We start from the raw sequence: 21,370 nt of genomic DNA on the forward strand, positions 1-21,370 counted from the left end.
CTGAGACAGTAGAATTGTTGAACCCCGGAGGCGGAGGTTGCAGTGAACTGAGATGGTGCATCCCTACATATGTATATAGGGATGGATGCGGTGGCTCAACCCTATAATTCCAGCACTTTGGGAGACCGAGGCGGGCGGATCACTTGAGGCCAGGAGTTCAAGACCAACCTGGCCAACATGGGGAAACCCTGTCTCTACTAAAAATATAAAACAGCCGGGCGTGGTGGCAGGCTCCTGTAATCCCCACTACTTGGAAAGCTGAGGCAGGAGAATCACTTGAACCTGGGAGGCAGAGGTTGCAATGAGCCAAGATCACACCATTGCACTTCAACCTGGGCAACAGAGTGAGACTCTGTCTCAAAAAAAAAAAAAAAAAAAAAAAAAAGGCCGGGCGCAGTGGCTCACGCCTGTAATCCCAGCACTCTGGGAGGCTGAGGCAGGGGGAACACCTGAGGTCACGAGATCAAGACCAGCCTGGCCATGGTGAAACCTCGTCTCCAATAAAAATACAAAAAAGTAGCTGGGCATGGTGGTGCGCACCTGTAATCCCAGCTACTCGGGAGGCTGAGGCAGGAGAATCGCTTGAACCTGGGAGGCGGAGGCTGCAGTGAGCTGACACAGTGCCATTGCACTTCAGCCTCGGCAACAAGAGCGAAACTCCGTGTCAAATAAAAAAAAATATATATATATGTGTATATATATATATATGTATATATCCCCATTGTGCAGAAGAGGAAGAGGAGGAGGCTCAGAGGGTCCAGGGAGCCACCCACAGCCACATATGGCAGAAGTAGGATCTGACCTTAGCACTGAAATTCTTACCCTCTATAATTTGGTGCCTTCCACGGAACCTTATCCTGATCCCAAGAGTTCAGTAGAGGGTCCTACACATCAGGAAGTTTAAGTAACTCAGTGATAGTAATAACTTATATTTAATGAGCACTTGCCAAGCACCAGGCCCCTTGCTAAGCTCTGAATCCTCACAACCCTAGTGAGCAGGTTTTTGTTTTTGTTTTTTTTGAGACAGTCTTGCTGTCATCGAGGCTGGGGTGCAGTGGCACAGTCACAGCTCCTCATCCTACCTCAGCCTCCCAGGTAGCTGGGACTACAGTTGTGCACCACCACACCCAGCTAATTTTTGTATTTTTGGTACAGATGGGGTTTCACCATGTTGCCCAGGCTGGTCTCGAACTTCTGGGCTCAAGCAATCCACCTGCCTCGGCCTCCCAAAGTGCTGACATTACAGGCATGAGGCACTGAGCCTGGCCTGAGCCCACATCATTCGGCTCTCTGATGTGGAAATAGAGTCTCAAATGGGTCAAGAGATTTGCTGAAAGTCACACAGTAATAGCATCAATCTGTTTGGTTGCAGAACCATAACTGTCCTATTCTTGGGTGCCTCATGGGGGATCCTCAGGGCCATGACTTCCAGACCATTTCTGAGCTTCATCAGTGGTACCTTCCCAGTCTGCAGATGCTATGTGACCTTCATCTTGGTTTCTTGGGCCCCCAAAGCCTCCTTCCAGTACCAGCAAGCTCCAAACCAAATAGGGTCTTATTGAGGCACCAGGAGCCTGGCTGGGACCCAGAAAGAGCCAAGTGTCCCCTGCCACACACAACACCAGGAGGCAGCAAGGGCGATCCCCAGCCCCCAGACTCCCAGCATCTGTGATGCTATAACATTCCAAACAGTAGAATTCTCTGGCTGTGAAATTCTAAGTAATAGAACTCAGAAGGCTTGAAGTTCTAATCAATCAGGAAAACTTCCAGATGAAGGGAAGCTGCTGGGGTGCAAAAATCTCAGAGAGCAGCGGGGCATGGTGGTGCCTGCCTGCAGTCCCAGCTACTTGGAAGGCTGTGGCAGGAGAATCACTAGGAGTTGGAGGCTGCTGTGAGCTGTAATTGTGCCTGTCCCCTGCCCCAGTTCATTACTCCTTTCAGTAATCAGCTCAGACTCCAGGTCCTCAGAGAGGAGAATGGGGGCCTGTCTGGGTCTTAAAATCAGGCCTCAGGGCACAGTTTTCTAAGGCACGGTAAAGAGCCCTGGGCTGGAATATGTATGAATAATTAGGATTATACTGTAGTTAAATAATAATAATCAGAGAACAATAATAATAGCTGGCCTTGAGAGCTTATCAGTGTGCTAAGTACACATTGCCTCAGTTAATCACTTCTCTCGAGAATGCTGGGAGGTAAGAGTCATCTTTTTCCATTTCCAGGAAGTGAAAATCAAGCTCAGAGAGGTTAGTGAACTTGCCCAAGGTCACACAGGTGCCAGATAACTGGCGGAGCCTGAAGAGTGGAGACCTTATCCAGCGGATGCTTCTTGGGGGACTTTGGGAAGTCCCCAAAAGATTTCCCAAAGATTTATCCCCCAAGAGGATAAATCCTCTTGGAGCCTCAGTTTGCCCAGATGTACAAAGTACATCTGGAAAAGGCAGAGGGAAAAAAACAGGAGCAAAGGCAGAGGGAAAAAACAGGAGCAAAGAAGCCAGGCGTAATTACAGCTTATGCCTGTAATTCCAGCACTTTGGCAGGCTGAGGATTGCTCCAGCTTGGGAGTTCAAGACTAGCCTGGGCAACACAGCAAGACTCCATCTCTACAAAAAATGTTTTGAAAAATTGGCTGGGCCTGCCGGCATACGCCTGCAGTCCCAACTACTTGGAAGGTTGAGATGGGAGGGTCACTGGAGCCCAGGAGGCTGAGAATGCAGTGAGCTGTGATCCTGTCACTGTACTCAAGCCTGGGCAACAGAGTGAGATTCTTTCTCAAAAAAAAAAAAAAAAGAAAGAAAGAAAATGAACAGGAGCAAAGAAGCATGGACCACCACAGTTTGATGGGGACATGTAATCAGAAAGGATAACCTGGGGGGAGGAAGCTGAAAGTCCCAAGAACTTTGTAAGTGGCGTCTAATTAAGCCCATGAGGCAGGAAAATAGCCTATAGTCTTAGGACTAACACTATCCATGAGCCAATCCTTAAGTAAGCAGAATGTAGAAGGCTTGATTTCATGGCTGACACAGAGCAGAGTCAGTGGCAGCTTTTACTATTATTATTTTTTTTTCTTTTTATTTATTTATTTTTTTGACATACGGTCTCACTCTGTCACCCAGGCTGGAGTGCAGTGGTGCGATCTCGGTTCACTGCAACCTCCACCTCCCAGGTTCAAGCGATTTTCCTGCCTCAGCCCCTGAGTAACTGGGATTACAGGCACGCGCCTCCACGTCTGGCTAATTTTTGTATTCTTAGTAGAGACGGGGTTTCACCATATTGGCTGGGCTGGTCTCGAACTCTTGACCTTGTGATCCGCCCCCCTCAGCCTCCCAAAGTGCTGGGATTACAGGCATAAACCACCGTGCTCAACCCTAATTTTGTTTTTTATTTTCATGCTTTTTTTTTTTTTTTGAGACGGAGTCTTGCTCTGTTACCCAGGCCAGGCTGGAGTGCAGTGGTGCGATCTCCGCTCACTGCGACCTCCGCCTCCTGAGTTCAAGCAATTCTCCTGCCTCAGCCTCCTAAGTAGCTGGGACTATAGGCGCCCACCACCACATCTGCCTGGATTTTATATTTTTAGTAGAGACGGGGTTTCACCATGTTAGCCAGGATGGTCTCGATCTCCCGACCTCGTGATCCACCCGCCTCGGCCTCCCAAAGTGGGGATTACAGGCGTGAGCCAATATGCCCGGCTCACACCTCTAATCCCAGCACTTTGGGAGGCCGAGGCGGGTGGATCACCTGAGGTCAAGAGTTCGAGACCAGCCTGGCCAACATGGCAAAACCCCAATCTCTACTAAAAATACAAAAATTAGCCAGGTATGGTGGCAGGCGCCTGTAATTCTAGCTACGTGGGAGGCTGAAGCATGAGAATTGCTTGAACCTGGGAGTCAGAGGTTGCAGTGAGCCGAAATTGCACCACTGCACTTCATCCTGGTCAACAGAGCAAGACTTAGTCTCCATTTCAGAGTCATTATAGGCATGAGCCACCATGCCCAGCTCACTAATTTTTTTTTTTAAGAGACTGGGTCTCGGGCAGGCGCGGTGGCTCATGCCTGTAATCCCGGCACTTTGGGAGGCCGAGGTGGGTGGATCACCTGAGGTCAGGAGTTCGTGACCAGCTTGACCAATATGGTGAAATCCTGTCTCTACTAAAAATACAAAAATTAGCCAGGCATGGTGACATGTGCCTATAGTCCCATCTACCCAGGAGGCTGAGACAGGAGAACTGCTTGAACCCAGGAGGCAGAGGTTGCAGTAAGCTGAGATTGTGCTACTGCCCTCTAGCCTGGGCAACAGAGCAAAACTCCTTCTCAAAAACAAACGAAAAAGAGACTGGGTCTCATTCTGTCGCCCAGGCTGGAGTGCAGCAGCTACTCATAGGCACAGTTATAGCTCATTGCAGCCTCAAACTCCTAGTGATCATCCTGTCTCAGCCTCCGTAGTAGCTGGGACTGCAGGCGTGCACCACCGCGCCCCACTGATCACTGAGACTTTTGCACCCCAGAAGCTTTCCTTCATCTAGAAGTTTCCTGATAGATTAGAATTTCAAGGCTTCTGAGTTCTATTAGTTAGAATTTCACAACCAGAGAATTCTATTGATTAGAATTTTATGGCACCACAGAAATATTGATTAGCATTTCATGGCCATAGAATCCTATTACTCAGAATTTCATGACTTGAGAGTGCTATTGATTTGAATTTCATGGCATCTTGATGTTCCAGCAATGCAGGCGTCCCCAGATACCCACATAAATTGCTCAGATCTCTGCTCAAACTGTCGTTTTCCCAGGGAGGCCTTCCCTGACCTCCTTATTGCAAATTGTCTGTCTGCCACCTGCTTTGTTTTTTTCCATGCTGTTTATCACCACTTAACAATATGTCACATACATTACTTACTCCTCCTCGGCTAGAATGTAAGAAGCTCTAACAAGACAGAGATTTTTAAATTTTTCTTTTTTTTTTTTGAGACAGGGTCTCACCCTGTCACCCAGGCTAGAGTGCAGTGGCACAACCATAGCTCACTGCAGCCTCCATCTCCTGGGCTCAGGTGATCCTCCCACCTCATCCTCCTGAGTAGCTGGGACTACAGGCATGCAGTCACTATTTTAAAAATAATTATATAAACCGGGCCTGGCACTGTGGCTCACACCTCTACTCCCAGCACTTTGGGAGGCCGAGGCAGGTGGATCACCTGAGGTCAAGAGTTCAAGACCAGCCTGGCCAACATGGCAAAACCCCAATCTCTACTAAAAATACAAAAATTAGCCAGGTGTGGTGGCAGGCACCTGTAATTCTAGCTATGTGGGAGGCTGAGGCATGAGAATTGCTTGAACCTGGGAGTCAGAGGTTGAGGTGAGCTGAGATTGCACCACTGCACTTCATCCTGGTCAACAGAGCAAGACTCAGTCTCAAACAAACAAACAAACAAACAAACAAAAAACAGTAGTGACTGTTAAGTTGTCTACCTGCCTTCTCTAGCATGCTCCACCCCCACTCAATGTTTCAATTCATGGGTGGAGAGGGGAGTCACTGTGCCCGTCTCCCTAAAAAATAGGTCTCACCTGAGATGAGATCTACACTCCTAGGACAGGGAAAGGAATTGAAATGATGCAGACGGATGAGTCCAGAAAGGGATGTCCTAGCACCTGGAACCTACTCATTTTTCAGATCTCGAATGTTACCATCACCTGCTCCAGGAAGCTCTCCCTGACAGCCAGGTTAACTTTGCTTCCCTGTCAAATGCTCTTCAAGCTCCCCACACTCTGTTCACAGGACTCTGTACTGTTTGCATTTAATTATGTATTTATTTGAGGCAAGATTTCTCTCTGTCACCCAGGCTGGAGTGAAGTGGTGCAATCTCATTTCACCACAGCCTCCACCTCCCAGGCCCAAGTGATCCTCCCACTTCAGTCTCTTGAGTAGCTGGGACCACAGGCATTCACCACCATGCCCAGCTATTTTTCTTACCTTTTGTAGAGACAGGGTGCCACCATGTTGCCCAGGCTGGTCTCAAACTCTTGGGCTCAAGCAATTCTCCCACCTCAGCCTCTCAAACTGCAGGAACTACAAGCGTGAGGCACCACACGTGCCCTTTTACTGTTTGTATTTAGAGATGTGCTGGATGACTGATTGATGTCTGCAGACAAGGACCATATCTAGTTTGTAACTCCTACCTAGACCAGTGCCTGGCACACAGTGCATACGTGTAGAATGAATGCATGAATACCACATCACATTCTTGCAAGCAGGATGCAAAAAGACCTGCTGGGCATAAGAGCTGCCAAGGATCAGGGGATGCCAGAGGGAGGAGGACCTTCGGGGAACTGAGAGTTTGGATTCCAGCTGCCCCTCCAGAGCCAGCTCCTGGGTAAGAGGCCAACTAGAGAAGGGATAGGCAGACCGTGTGCGGTGGTTCAAGCCTGTAATCCCAGCACTTTGGGAGGCTGACACGGGCAGATCACCTGAGGTCAGGAGCTCAAGACCAGCCTGGCCAACATAGTGAAACCCCATCTGTATCAAAAATTAAAAAATGGGGCCAAGCATGGTGATGTGCACCTGTAATCCCAGCTACTCGAGAGGCTGAAGTGGAGAATCACTTGAAGCTGGGAGGCGGAGGTTGTGGTGAGCTGAGATCGTGCCGCTGCACTCCAGCCTGGGTGACAGGGCGAGACCGTATCTCAAAAAAAAAAAAAAAAGAGAGAGAAACAGACTAAACCATATACCATACTGGCGCTGAGACCTGTGGCTCCTGATGCTGTCACAGCAATCAGCCATGCACAATTTGAGCAAACAGACAATACATAACGACACGACACGGGTGGCTGTGTTTCAACAAAACTCTCCTAATTACACTAAAGTTTGAATTTCACATATCTTTATCGGTTGGGGAAAAGTCTCCCAATCCCAGAGATTAAGTGTTCAGTTTAAAGTAAGGGTGAGAGCCTCAGGTGGAAGAGAGACCCTTTTTTTCCCACCCCTGAGATGTTAGACAAGTCCCTTAACTGCTCTGAGCCTGGAGCGCCTGGTTTGGTAAAGGGTCTAATAAAAGTCCTTGACTCCCAAGGCGGTCGTGAGGATTAACTGAGATAACACCTTGAGCTCCAGCCAGGTGGGCTCAGCATGAGCTACCGGATTGCTATTGTTGGTAATAATTATTATTACTATTACCAGGGGGACTTTGAGAGGAGCAAACGGAAGGACGCATGCAAATCCTCTTGTGCAATGTCTGGCACCAAGGAGACCTTCCTAACCTCCCCTGTTCTGCAAACCCGTTCCCACCCTAGGTCATTCCAGACGGTCCACCCCAGCATCCTTCACTCTCCCCTCAACCCCCTCAATGCTCTCCTCCTCCCCACGATCCCTGGCTCAGACCAGAGGTGGTCATGGCAGCTGGCCAGGGTGCAGAGAGGGCCAGGCACAGAGGGAGGAGGGTTCCAACCAGGCCCCCCGCCCATTGTCTGAGCCTGCCAGCCCGCCAGCCAGCTGATGTCCTGGGTCTCCGACACCAGCTGGCCAGCCCCACCCCCACCCCAATACCCCCTCCTCCCAGGTCCCTCCCTGTCACTCAGCCTCTGCCCCCATCCGCCCACAGCCCAGAAAGACTCAGGGTGTGACCAGAGGGTCTGAGCTTTTGTCCCCCAAATCGGAGGCTGATTTGCATCTTTTAGCAATTTGCACACCCCATTCATTTGTGTAGAGCTAGACTGCCACAAAGCCAGCCTGGTCCTTGGGGCTTATTTATTTGAGTGGGGTTATAAAATGTGATTTTGGGTGTTCCCTTTCAGCCTTCAGCACTTCCTCATTCTGGGACTTTGCTCAGTGGCTTCACCACTGTTCCTTATCTGTAAAACGGAGGCAACACTTTCCTATACAGTGGTTGCGAGGAGTAAGATGTGTGTGATGTGCCTGGAATAAAGTGGGTGTTCAACAAACAAGAGCTGTTATTATCTAAACATCCTCCAGAGTTAACTGTTAAAACCTGTGCTGGCCTGGCGCAGTGGCTCATGCTTGTAATCCTAGCACTTTGGGAGGCCGAAGTGGGCGGATCACGGGGTAAGGAGTTCGAGATCAGCCTGGCCAACATAGTGAAATCCCGTCTCTACTAAAAATACAAAAATTTGGCCGGTCACAGTGGCTCACACCTATAATCCCAGCACTTTGGGAGGCTGAGGCAGGTGGATCACGAGGTCAGGAGTTCGAGACCAGCCTGGCTAACATGGTGAAACCCCGTCTCTACTAAAAACACAAAAAATTAGCCGGACGTGGTGGCGGGCGCCTGTAATTCCAGCTACTTGGGAGGTTGAGGCAGGAGAATCGCTTGAACCTGGGAGGCAGAGGTTGCAGTGAGCTGAGATCGTGCCATTGCACTCCAACCTGGGCAGCAAGAGTGAAACTCCGTCTCAAAAAAAAAAAAAGAAAATCAAACAAACAAAGAAAAATTAGCCGGGCATGGTAGCGCGAGCCTGTAGTCCCAGCTAATAGGGAGGCTGAGGCAGAAGAATCGCTTGAACCCGGGAGGCGGAGATTGTGGTGAGCCGAAATCAAGCCACTACACTCCTGCTTGGGCAACAGAGCGAAATAAATAAAATAAAATAAAAGGAAAGGAAACATGTGCTGTCCATTGGGTGGCCACTAGGCTATTTAAATTTCAATTAATTAAAATTAAATAAAATTGGTACTTTAGTTCCTCAGTTGCACCAGCCAAATTTGAAGTGCTCGACAGCCATGTGCGGTGGCTATCATACTGAGCTGCACAGATCACTGCAGAATGTTCTCTGGGATAGTGCTGATTCAAACCCTCTAATTCTCCAGAGTTTTTCTCCCTTTTCAGAATAGGGCTCTCTTCTCTGCAGCCTTTCTTCCCCTCACCCCCAACAAGGCCCATCGAGGCACAGTAATCTGCCCCACCCCACCCCCACTGTATCCTCTGGGCATAGATTCCAAAACCCCCAGTGGGTGGCTGAAACTGCAAATAGTTCCTAACCCTCCATAGTTTGTACTTGCAATGACCTTGGTGCGAAGGTGTTCTTTTGTTCTCTGCAGGGCCTGCACCTGGGATGGAGGCTGGAGAACAGGTGTGGAGCTGTGCCCTGGGGCACCGAGGGGATAGGCTCAATTGTTGGTGTTGTAAAGCAAACAACTGCACCCAACTCTGTCCCAGGCGCCAGCAGAAGCCTCCACCTTCGGAGGTGGACGAGGGAGGGAAGCCCTGGGGAATTGTGGGCCCTGTCCCCACTATCTCCCAGAGGCAGTTTAAGATCACATAATAAGTCTGGGCCTGGAATGAACAGTTTCCAGCACAGCTGACACCTGGGGCAGGTGCTCCAGATGGGAGGCCCAGAGTGCAGGGGGAGGAAAGGCTTGGCAACCTCACAAAGGCCAAGGCTCATCTGCACTGGAGGCTGTGGAAGGTGCGAATAAGTCACATTCAGATTATTTCAACCTATACACATTCCACATCCACTGTGGCCCCAACACCACCAGCAGAGAAAAGCAGGAGTGGAGAAACCCCAATCCTATCTACACCCTCATGCAGACATCCCAAAGTTAACATCCCCAGACCTGAACTCCTGCTTTCGCCCTTGGCATGTGTTTGTTCATCCCACAGCTGTCACCACCTCAGCCTGTGGCTGCTCCATCCTTTCAGCTGCTCAGCCCAGAACCTTGGAGTCACCCTTCATCCTGCTCTTTTCCATACCCCACAAACAAGCCATCAGCAAACTCCACCATCTCCACCTTCAAACAGAACACACATCCAACCCCTACTCACCATCTCTACTGCCACTACCTTGTTCCAAGCCATCACGGTCTCCCTCCAGAATCACCCAGTGGTTTTCCACCGTTGCCTCCCCTGGCATACCCTTCTCTCTAGAGGGATGATCATGTCGCTCCTTTGCTCAAAACTATCTAGAGGCTCTGAAATTTGTGGAGAACAAATTCAAATTCCTGGCAGAGCACAGTGGCTCAAGCCTATAAACCCAGCACTTTGGGAAGCCAAGATAGAAGGATTGCTTGAGCCCAGGAGCTCTAGACCAGCCTGGGCAACATAAAGAGACCTTGTCCCTACAAAAAATTTTAGCTGGGTGCAGTGGCTCATGCCTGTAATCCCAGCACTTTGAGAAGCCGAGGCGGGCGGATCACGAGGACAGGAGTTCAAGACCAGCCTGGCCAACATAGTGAAACCCCGTCTCTACTAAAAATACAAAAATTAGCTGGACATGGGGGCATGCGCCTGTAGTCCCAGCTACTTGGGAGGCTGAGACAGGAGAATCGCTTGAACCCAGGAGGTGGAGGTTGTGGTGAGCGGAGATCACGCCACTGCACTCCAGCCTGGGCAACAGAGTGAGACTCTGTCTCAAAAAAAAAAAAAAATTTAAAATTAGCCAGGTGTGTCTGTGGTCTCAGCTACTCAGGAGGTTGTGATGGGAGGGTCACTTGAGCCCAGGAGGTCAAAGCTGCAGTGAGCCATGATCGTGCCACTGCATTCCAGCCTGAGTGACAGAGTGAGACCCAGTCTCAAATAAATACATTAAATTAAATTAGAAATAAAAAATAAAGTCAGATTTCTTACTATGGCCTACCAGGCCCCACGTTATCTGGCCGCAGTCCCCTTTCTCAGTCTCTGCTGTATCCTGATGTCCTTTCTGTGCAGCCATCTTTCTGCCTCCGGGCCTTTGTTCCTGCTACCCTTACTCAGCCTGGCGGCTGTCTTACCTTCTCCAGGTTTTAGAGTTTAATTAACACCTCCTTAGAGAACACTCTCTCTGCTTCCTTATATAAAGTAGCACTTGGCCGGGTGCGGTGGCTCACACCTGTAATCCCAGCACTTTGGGAGGCCAAGGCGGGCGGATCACTTGAGGTCAGGAGTTCGAGACCAGCCTGGCCAACATGGCAAAACCCTGTCTCTACTAAAAATACAAAGTTAGCCGGACGTGGTGGCACATGCCTGTAATCCCAGCTACTCGGGAGGCTGAGGCAGGAGAATCGCTTGAACCCAGGAGGCCAAGGTTGCAGTCAGTCGAAATCGCACCACTGCACTCCAGCGTGGGCAACAGAGCAAGACTCTGTCTCAAAAAAAAAAAAAAAAAAAAAAGTTGGGTTGCACCTCTTGCCTTTCTCCTGCCTTGTTTTTCCTTGGAGTACCTAGCATAGTGTATACTGACTATGCTCATTGCCAGTTCATGGTCACTGTCCCCTCACAGAATGCCTCCCCCGTGGGGTGGGAATTTGGTCTGTCTTGTGCACAGTTGTAGCCCTGATGCTCAGGACAGTGCTTGGCACATGGTATGTGTTTGGTGATGGAGGGAAGAATGCACAAGCTCTGTGCTTGGTGCCATGCACAGCACCTAATATGGTTTTCTCACCCACTACCCACAGCCCCTAAGCCAGGTGCTGTTCTCACAGATGGGGAAATGCCACATAGAGACTATGATTTACCCCAGCCTAGTAACAGACCTATCCAAAGTGTGTCTTTTGTACCACTCCCCCATAGACAATCAGACTTGATAGCCAGGTTGCTGTTTGAGACCAAATTCTGAGGGCCCCTAGGGATTCACATGCATCAGCATGAGATCTGGGACCTTCTGCTCTAAGGGTGGGCAGCTCTGAACAGGTAAGTCTTTAACATTCTCAAAGAAGGCTTCAAATATCTGGATTTCTCCTCTCTTTTAGCCTGTCTAGGGCCATTTGTTTAGAGGAAAAATTTAAAAAGCAAATCACAGTCCTCCAGGGCATTCATGAAACCATGTATATGCCTTCCTTGGCCTCAGGCTTAAACATCCCTTCCCTGGTCTCCAAGATTGCAGCGTGCAGCCCCGCCCACTCTGCCTAGAGGTCTCTCTGTCCCTCCAGCCTGAACAACTGGGACAAGGGGTGGGACAGAGGGAATGAAAAGCTCTGCGGGTGTGGAAGGTAAAGAAGAGGTGATGGGGCCATGCTCAGTAGCTCATGCTTGTAATCCCAGTACTTTGGGAGGCCGAAGCGGGTGGGTCACCTGAGGCTAGGAGTTTGAGACCAGCCTGGCCAACATGGTGAAACTTTGCCTCTACTAAAAATACAAAACTTAGCTGGGCGTGGTGGCGGGCGCCTGTAATCCCAGCTACTCGGGAGGCTGAGGAAGGAGAATCATTTGAACCCGGGAGGTGGAGGTTGCAGTGAGTTGAGATGGTGCCCCATTGCACTCCAGCCTGGGTGACAAGAGTGGAACTCTGTCTCAAAAAAAAAAAAAAGAAGAGGTGAGGGAAGTGATAGGCTGGGTCCAAACAATGTAGGACTTTGTAGATCATGGTGGGCAGTTTGAATTTTATTTTAAGGACATTAGAGTCTTGGAGGTGTCATTTGTTTAACTTTTATTTATTTATTTATTTATTTATTTATTTGAGATGGAGTCTCGCTGTGTTGCCAGGCTGGAGTGCAGTGGCCCGATCTCGGCTCACTGCAACCTCGGCCTCCTGAGTTCAAGCAATCCTCCCGCCTCAGCCTCCCAAGTAGCTGGGATAACAAGTGTGTGCCACCACACTTGGCTAATTTTGTATTTTGAGTGGAGACAGGGTGTCACTGCATTGGCCAGGCTAGTCTCAAGCTCCTGACCCCAAGTGATCTGCCTGCCTCGGCCTCCTAAAGTGCCGGGATTACAGGTGTGAGCCACCGTGGCCAGCCTTTTTTTTTTTTTTTTTTTTTTTTTTGAGACAGAGTCCACTCTGTCACCCAGGCTGGAGTGCAGTGGCACAAACTTGGCTCACTGCAACATCCACCTCCCGGGTTGAAGCGACTCTCCTGCCTCAGTCTCCTGAGTAGCTGGGACTACAGGTGCGTGCCAGCACGCCCGGCTAATTTTTGTATTTTTAGTAGAGATGAGGTTTCACCATGTTGGCCAGTCTGGTCTGAACTCCTGATCTCAAGTGATCTGCCCACCTTGGCCTCCCAAAGTGCCAGGATTACAGGTGCGAGCCACAGCACCAGGCCTAGGATAGTTTTTCAAAAGGCAGGATGCAGGCTGGGCAAAGTGGCTGTAATCCCAACACTCTGGGAGGCCGAGGCAGGTAGATCACTTGAGGTCAGGAGTTCGAGACCAGCCAGGTCAATATGGTGAAACCCCCATCTCCACTAAAAATATGAAAATTAGCTGGGCGTGCTGGCACGTGCCTGTAATCCCAGGCTGCTCAGGAGGCTGAGGCAGAAAAATCACTTGAACCTGGGAGGCGGAGGTTGCAGTGAGCCGAGATCAATGCCGTTGCTCTCCAGCCTGGGCAACAGAGTAAGAGTCTGTCTCAAAATAAATAAATAAATAAATAAATAAATAAATAAAAATATTAAAAAAATAAAAGGCAGGATGCAGAAATGTGCTAATAGTATGATCTCAATTATGTAAATAGGTCCATGAACAGAAAAACGTTGGGAATACTATACAGTAAAATGGTGACAATTTCTTTCTTTTTTCTTTTTATTTTTTGAGACAGAGTCTTGCTCTATTGTCCAGGCTGAAGTGTAGTGGCATAATCACTGCTCACTGCAGCTGGCCAATGGGGTTTTGCTATGTTGCCCAGGCTGGTCTTAAACTCCTGGCCTCATGGAATCCTCCCACCTTGGCCTCACAAAGTGCTGAGATTCAGGCATGAGCCACCACCTCCCTGGCCTATTCCTCAATGTTAAGAATTAAGATAATCTGTCATGAGATTAGAGTTAAGGAAAAAAAGAATTCACTGTTATTTTTGTCACAATCTTCTTATGTAGTGTACAAATTCTTCACCATGACTATGCTCACATTCCTCTCATAAGCATAAACAATAATAAATTTTAATCATATAACCAGTAGCCAAAGAACTCGTTCATCTCTCCCTCTGGGAGTTTTGGGCTCTTCAGCCTTTTTGGGAGAAAAAGCCTTGCTTATTAGAAAAGCCCCAGCTGCTGGGCCTAGTGGCTCACACCTGTAATCCCAGCACTTTGGGAGGCCAAGGCGGGTAGATCACCTGAGGTCCAGAGTTCGAGACCAGCCTGGCCAACATGGAGAAACCCCGTCTCTACTAAAAACACAAAATTAGCTAGGTGTGGTGGCTCATGCCTGTAATCCCAGCTACTCGGGACGGTGAGGCAGGGAAATCGTTTGAACCCGGGAGGCAGAGATGCCGTGCATTGCACTCCAGCCTGGGCAACAAGAGTGAAACTGTGTCTCAAAAAAAAAAAAGAAAAGAAAAGCCCCAGCCCTGTCAAATATTTTTCTGGCACACAAAGAGATTTTTTTTAAAGTGCCATGGGTATTTCAGACTCCTGTTTACCCAAGAAGGACCAACACCTCTAAGTCGCTTCCCCTCGCTGACTGTCATCTGGCCTGGCCTTGTGTTTATCCTTCATTAGCGGAACGGGCATGGCCAGGGCAGATGGCAGGCAGCACACACTTCTCCCTAACGCCCATCTTTATCCTTCTCGTCACTAGTTAAAGAAAAACAGTCACTGGACTTGGACAAGAAAGAGCCAGGGCCTCAAGCAATTTCCTTAGGTCTATCTAAGTCTACAAGGCTTCCAGAAGGCTGTGAAAAGAATGTCAGAATTAAGTTCTATCACCTGAGTAACCTTCAGACTCAGGCTGACCTTATAATATCTCTTAACTTCCCTGGCGCTGGAAAATTTAGTTATTGCAAGGTTGAAGTCAAATTCAGTTTATAAGGCACCTAGCCCTGTCCCTTGACTTGTAAATGTTAATGGTTTATGGCTCTGATGTGCTCCCCAAAGGCCTATCCCCCACCCCAAAACATAAACACATTCCACCATGAACTATGCAAGAATAACAAATAAATAGAAAAGGTTGGTGACTTGTGTCAACTAACTTATTGTCTCTATATTTGAAACCACACAGAACTTGAGAAATCTCTATCTTTGAAACCAGGCCTTGTCCAGGCCCTTAGCAACAAAGTTTTATCTTCAGAAACAGTAGAATGAGACCAAGTGTGGTGGCTCACGCCTATAATCTCAGCACTTTGGGAAGCCGAGGCGGGTGGATCACTTGAGTTTGAGACCAGCCTGGCCAACATGGTGAAACTCTGTCTCTACTAAAAATACAAAAAATTAGCCGTGCGTGGTGGCATGTGCCTGTAGTCCCAGGTATTCAGGAGGACAAGGCAGAGGCAGGAGAATTGCTTGAACCAAGGAGGGGAGGTTGCAGTGAAGCAAGATTGTGCCACTGCACTCCAACCTGGGCGACAGAGGGACTCCATCCCCCCCAAAAAAAGTGGCCAGGCATGGTGGCTTATGCCTGTAATCCCAGCACTTTGGGAGGCCATGGTGGGCGGATCACTTGAGGTCGGGAGTTTGAGACCAGCCTGGCCAACATGATGAAACACTGTCTCTACTAAAAAAAAAAAAAAAAGCTGGGCATCATGGTGCACACCTGTAATCCCAGCTACTTGGAGGCTGAGGTATGAGAATTGCTTGAACCTGGGAGGCAGAGGTTGCAGTGGGCCAATATCACACCACTGTACTCCACACTCCAGCCTGGTCGACAAAGCGAGACTCCATCTCAAAAAAAAAACAACAAGTTTTTGAATCAACCTTGTGTTCCCTGGGTAATCCTAATTTGTTCATAATGTATTATACTTTTTATATATTGTTAGATTCCATTTCCTAATATTTTCTTTCTTTCTTTTTTTTTTTTTTTTTTTTTGAGATGGAGTTTAACTCTTGTTGCCCAGGCTGGAGTGCAATGGCTCGATCTTGGCTCACCGCAACCTCCACCTCCCGGGTTCAAGGGATTCTCCTGCCTCAGCCTCCTGAGTAGCTGGGACTACAGGCTCGCGCTACCACGCCCAGCTAATTTTTTTTTTTTTTTTGAGACAAAGTCTCACTCTTGTCCCCCAGGCTGGAGTGCAATGGAACGATCTTGGCTCACTGCAACTTCTGCCTCTGGGTTCAAGTGATTCTCCTGCCTCAGCCTCCCGAGTAACTGGGATTACAGGCGCCTGCCACCATGTCCAGCTAATTTTTTTTGTATCTTTAGTAGAGACGGGGTTTCACCATGTTGGCCAGGCTGGTCTCCAGCTCCTGACCTCAGGTGATCTGCCTGTCTCGACCTCCCAAAGTGCTGGGATTACAGGTGTAAGCCACCATGCCCGGCCAATTTTTGTATTTTTAGTAGAGACGGGGTTTCACCATGTTGGCCAGGATGGTCTCAATCTCCTGACATCGTGATCCTACCACCTCAGCCTCCCAAGTAGCTAGGACTACAGAGATGCAGCACTATGAATGGCAAATGTTTGTATTTTTTGTAGAGCTGGAGTTTTGCCATGTTACCCAGCCTGGTCTTGAACTCCTGGGCTCAAGCAATCCACCTGCCTAGGCCTCCCAAAATGCTGGGATTACAGGTATGAGCTGCCATGCTTGGCCTAACCATAAATGTAATTTTTTTTCTGAGACAGAGTCTTGCTCTGTTGCCCAGGCTGGAGTGCAGTGATGTGATCTCGGCTCACTGCAGCCTTGACTTCTCAGGTTCAAGTGATCTTTCTACCTCAACCTACTAAGTAGCTAGGACCATGGTCTTGTGCCAGCATGCCTGCTAACATTTAAAATTTAGTTTTTGTAGAAACAGGGTCTCATTATGTTGCCCAGTCTGATCTTGAATTCCTAGGTTTAAGGAATCCTCCCACCTTGGCCTCCCAAAGTGCTGGGATTACAGGTGTGAACCACCGCACCTGGCCTAATATTCTTAATATATATAGGATATTCAGATGATCACCTTATTCAGTAAGCTTTAGTAGTTGGCATCTTTCTTTTTTTTTCTTTTTTTTTTTTTGAGACGGAGTCTCGCTCTGTTCTCCAGGCTGGAGTGCAGTGGCACGATCTTGGCTTACTGCAAGCTCTGTCTCCCAGGTTCACGCCATTCTCCTGCCTCAGCCTCCGGAGTAGCTGGGACTACAGACGGCCGACACCACGCCTGGCTAATTTTTTTTGTATTTTTAGTAGAGACGGGGTTTCACTGTGTTAGCCAGGATGGTCTCGATCTCCTGACCTCGTGATCTGCCCGCCTCGGCCTCCCAAAGTGCTGGGATTACAGGCGTGAGCCACCGTGCCCGGCCAGTAGTTTGTATCTTTCAAGGAAATTATTGATTTTATCTAAAATGTCAAACTTGAGGGCATAAAATTCTTCATAATAGTTCTTTTTTTTTTTTTGAAATGGAGTCTCACTCTGTCACCCAGGCTGGAGTGCACAATCTCAGCTCACTGCAACCTCCGCCTCCCGGGTTCAAGCGATTCTTGTTCTTTTTTTTTTTTTTTGAGATGGAATTTTGCTGTTGTTGCCCAGGCTGGAGTGCAGTGGCGCGATCTCGGCTCACCGCAACCTCCAACTCCCAGGTTCAAGCGATTCTTCTGCCTCAGCCTCCTGAGTAGCTGGAATTACAGGCATGAGTCACCACGTCCGGCTAATTTTGTATTTTTAGTAGAGACGGGGTTTCTCCATGTTGGTCAGGCTGGTCTCAAACTCCTGAACTCAGGTAATCCACCCACCTCGGCCTCCCAAAGTGCTGGGATTACAGGCGTGAGCCACCATGCCTGGCACGATTCTCATTTTTCAGCCTCCTGAGTAGCTGGGATTACAGGTGCATGCCACCACGCCTGGCTAATTTTTGTATTTTTAGTAGAGACGAGGTTTCATCATGCTGGCCAGGCTGGTCTCAAATTCCTGACCTCATCATCAGCCCGCCTCAGCCTCCCAAAGTGCTGGGATTACAGGCGTGAGCCACTGGGCCCGGTCTCTCTTACTTGAATCTTAAAAAGTTTGAAGGTTGGGTGTGGTAGCGCGTGCTTACAATTCTAGCACTTTGAGAGGCCCAGGCTGGAGGATTGCTTGAGCTCTAGGAGTTTAAGACCAGCCTGGGCAACACAAAGAGACACCACCTCTACTACTACTACTACTACTAATAATAATAATTAGCTGGTCGGGGTGGGTGCCATGGTTCACGACTGTAATCCCAGCACTTTGTTTTTTTTTTGTTGTTGTTGTTGTTGTTTTTTCTGAGATGGAGTCTCGCTCTGTCGCCCAGGATGGAGTGCGGTGGCGCGATCTCAGCTCACTGCAAGCTCCACCTCCCAGGTTCACGCCATTCTCCTGCCTCAGCCTTCCAAGTAGCTGGGACTACAGGCGCCCGCCACCACACCCAGCTAATTTTTTTTTTTTGTATTTTTAGTAGGGATGGGGTTTCACTGTGTTAGCCAGGATGGTCTCGATCTCCTGACCTCGTGATCCGCCAGCCTTGGCTTCCCAAAGTGCTGGGATTACAGGCGTGAGCCACCGCACCCGGTCAATAGTAATTATTTTTGAGACAGAGTCTCACTCTATCGCTAGACTGGAGTGCAGTGGCATGATCTCGACTTACCATAACCTCAGTCTCCTGGTTCAAGCGATTCTCCTGCCTCAGCCTCCCAAGTAGCTGGGATTACAGGTGCCCGCCACAATGCGAGCTAATTTTTGTATTTTTAGTAGAGATGGGGTTTCACCATGTTGGCCAGGCTGGTCTCAAACTCCTGACCTCAGGTGATCCACCTGCCTCAGCCTTCCAAAGTGCTGAGATTGCAGGCATGAGCCACCGCATCCGGCCAAATTATTATCACTCTTTTTTTGAGGCACGGTCTTGCTCTGTCACCCATGCTGGAGTGCAGTGGTCGGATCACAGCTCACTGCAGCCTTGACCTCCTGGGCTCAAGCCAATCCTCCTGCCTCAGCCTCCTGAGTAGCTGGGACTACAGGCGTGCACCACCATGCCTTGCTAATTTTTTTATTTTTTGTAGAAAGGAGGTCTCACTTTATTGCCCAGTCTTGAAAATTATTTTTTGATAGGAGCATTGGAGAGATTTTCACAAAGGAAGTGAAATTTCAGCTGGGCTGTTAACCCCATCTGAATTCCTCATAGCCTTTTAGTTGTGGTTTAGAGACCCTTCCTGGGACTCTCTGAGTACATTGGTACCTTTTATTGTGTTTTCCAAAAACGTTCTAGGGAGGGCTTTCTTCATCAGTGCTCATGGCACTTTAAAGAGTATATATATACATGCATGTTCTTTTCTTTTTTTTGAGATGAAGTTTCGCTCTTGTTGCCCAGGCTGAAGTGCAATGGCGCAATCTCGGCTCACTGCAACCTCTGCCTCCCGGGTTTAAGTGATTCTCCTGCCTCAGCCTCCTGAGTAGCTGGTGTTACAGGCATGTGCCCAGCAAATTGTGTATTTTTACTAGAGACAGGGTTCCTCCATGTTGGTCAGGCTGGTCTCGAACTCCCAACCTCAGGTGATCTGTCTGCCTCAGTCTCCCAAAGTGCTGGGATTACAGGCATGAGCCACCATGCCTGGCCACATATGTTCTTTTCTTCTCTCTCTTTTTTTTTTTTTTGTTTTGTTTTGAGACAGAGTCTTGCTTTGTGGCCCAGGCTGGAGTGCAGTGGCATGATCTTGGCTCACTGCAACTGCCACCTCCCAAGTTCAAGCCATCCTCCTGCCTCAGCCTCCTGAGTAGCTGAGACTACAGGCACACGCCACCACTCCTGGCTAACTTTTGTATTTTTAGTAGAGACAGGTTTTCACCATGTTGGCCAGGCTGGTCTCGAACTCCTGACCTTTTGTGATCTGCCCACTTCAGCCTCCCAAAGTGCTAGGATTACAGGTGTGAACCACTATACCCAGCTGGTATATGCACATATGTTCTTATTTCTACATTTTTTTTTCTTTTTTTGAGACAGGGTCTCACTCTGTTACTCACGCCTGATCTGTTAGATCAGGCCAGAGTACATTGGTCTGATCTGGGGTAACTGAAACCTCTGACTCCCTGGCTCATATGATCCTCCCACCGCAGCCTTCTGTGTAGCTGAGACTACAAGCGTGTGTGCAACACCATGTCTGGCTAATTTTTGTATTTTTTGTACAGGCGCGGTTTCCCCGTGTTACCCAGGCTAGTCTTGAACTCCTGGACTCAAGCGATCCACCTGCCTTGGCCTCCCAAAGTGCCGGGATTAGAGGCATAAACCACTGTACCCGGCCGGCCTACATTCTGTCTTTTAAAATTTGTTTTCAATACACAAGTAAAATACAAATGCATTCTATATTCTTGGTGTGAGATATCTGAAATAATACTGAGAAACAAGAGTCTTTATTCTTTTCTTTTCTTTTCAGACGGAGCTTCCCTCTGTTGCCCAGGCTAGAGTGTAGTGGCGCGATTTCGGTTCACTGCAACCTCTGCCTCCCAGGTTCAAGCGACTCTCCTGCCTCAGCCTCCCGAGTAGCTGGGATTATGGACACCCGCCACCGCGCCCAGCTAATTTTTTTGTTTTGTTTTGTTTTGTTTTTTGAGAGGGAGTCTCGCTCTGTCACCCAGGTGGGAGTGCAGTGTCGTGATCTTGGCTCGGTGCAACCTCCGCCTCCGGGGTTCAAGCAATTCTCCTGTCTCAGCCTCCTGATTAGCTGGGATTACAGGCTTGTGAAACCAAGTCCAGCTAATTTTTGTATTTTTAGTACAGACGGGGTTTCACCACGTTGGTCAGGCTGGTCTCCAAATCCTGAGCTGTGATCTGCCAGCTTCGGCGTCCCAAAGTGCTGGGATTACAGGGGTGAGCCACAGCTCCTGGCCTTGTTTTGTTTTTTTGATACGGAGTTTTGCTCTTTTTGCTCAGGCTGGAGTGCAATGGCTCCGATCTCGGCTCACTGCAACCTCCCCCTCCCGGATTCAAGTGATTCTCCTGCCCCAGCCTCCCGAGTAGCTGGGACTAAAGGCACGCGCCACCGCACCAGGCTAATTTTTGTATTTTTATTTATTTATTTTTTTAGTAGAGATAGGGTTTCACCTTATAGGCCAGACTGGTCTTCAAACTCCTGACCTCGTGATCCTCCCGCCTCGGCCTCCCAAAGTGCTAGGATTACAGGCTTGAGCCACTGCGCCCGGCTCTAAGTTTTGTATTTTTAGTAGAGACAGCGTTTCGCCACATTGGCCAGACTAGCCTCGAAGTTCTGACCTCAGGTAATCCACCCTCCTCGGCCTCCCAAAGTGTTAGGATTATAGGCCTGAGCCACCGTGCCTGGTCTATTTTTTATTTTTATTTATTTATTTTTTTAATAGAGACGCTAGTCTCAAACTCCTGAGCTCAAGTGACTCTCCTTTGGCCTCCCAAAGTACTAGGATTACAGGCGTGGGCCACCACGCCCGGCCAACAGTTATTAAAATTACGATGATGAAATTTTAGGCATTTAGAATACTTCAGGCCAAAAACACTTTGAGCCAGGGGGCTCGCTCAAAGGCATGCGCAAAAGCCATCAGGCCTGTACCTGGAGAACTCAGGTGAGACGTTGCCACTCGTTGTAATCCCTCCCCCTAGCACTCGGCCCCCGAGCCTGGGCCACTGCCCTGGCT

General features: G+C 48.8%; 2 annotated features.

Annotated features, from left to right (window-relative positions):
• Positions 8,641 to 9,556: an enhancer, noted in NCBI's record as "H3K27ac-H3K4me1 hESC enhancer chr20:32064897-32065812 (GRCh37/hg19 assembly coordinates)". NCBI's record gives its function as "activates a minimal SCP1, AML or CMV promoter by ChIP-STARR-seq in naive H9 embryonic stem cells {active_cell/tissue: H9 hESC(naive)}" and the evidence as "EXISTENCE:reporter gene assay evidence [ECO:0000049][PMID:30033119]".
• Positions 20,813 to 21,361: an enhancer, noted in NCBI's record as "H3K27ac hESC enhancer chr20:32077069-32077617 (GRCh37/hg19 assembly coordinates)". NCBI's record gives its function as "activates a minimal SCP1, AML or CMV promoter by ChIP-STARR-seq in naive H9 embryonic stem cells {active_cell/tissue: H9 hESC(naive)}" and the evidence as "EXISTENCE:reporter gene assay evidence [ECO:0000049][PMID:30033119]".

Source organism: Homo sapiens, chromosome 20 (genome assembly GCF_000001405.40).
Source record: "Homo sapiens chromosome 20, GRCh38.p14 Primary Assembly".
Taxonomy (NCBI): domain Eukaryota; kingdom Metazoa; phylum Chordata; class Mammalia; order Primates; family Hominidae; genus Homo; species Homo sapiens.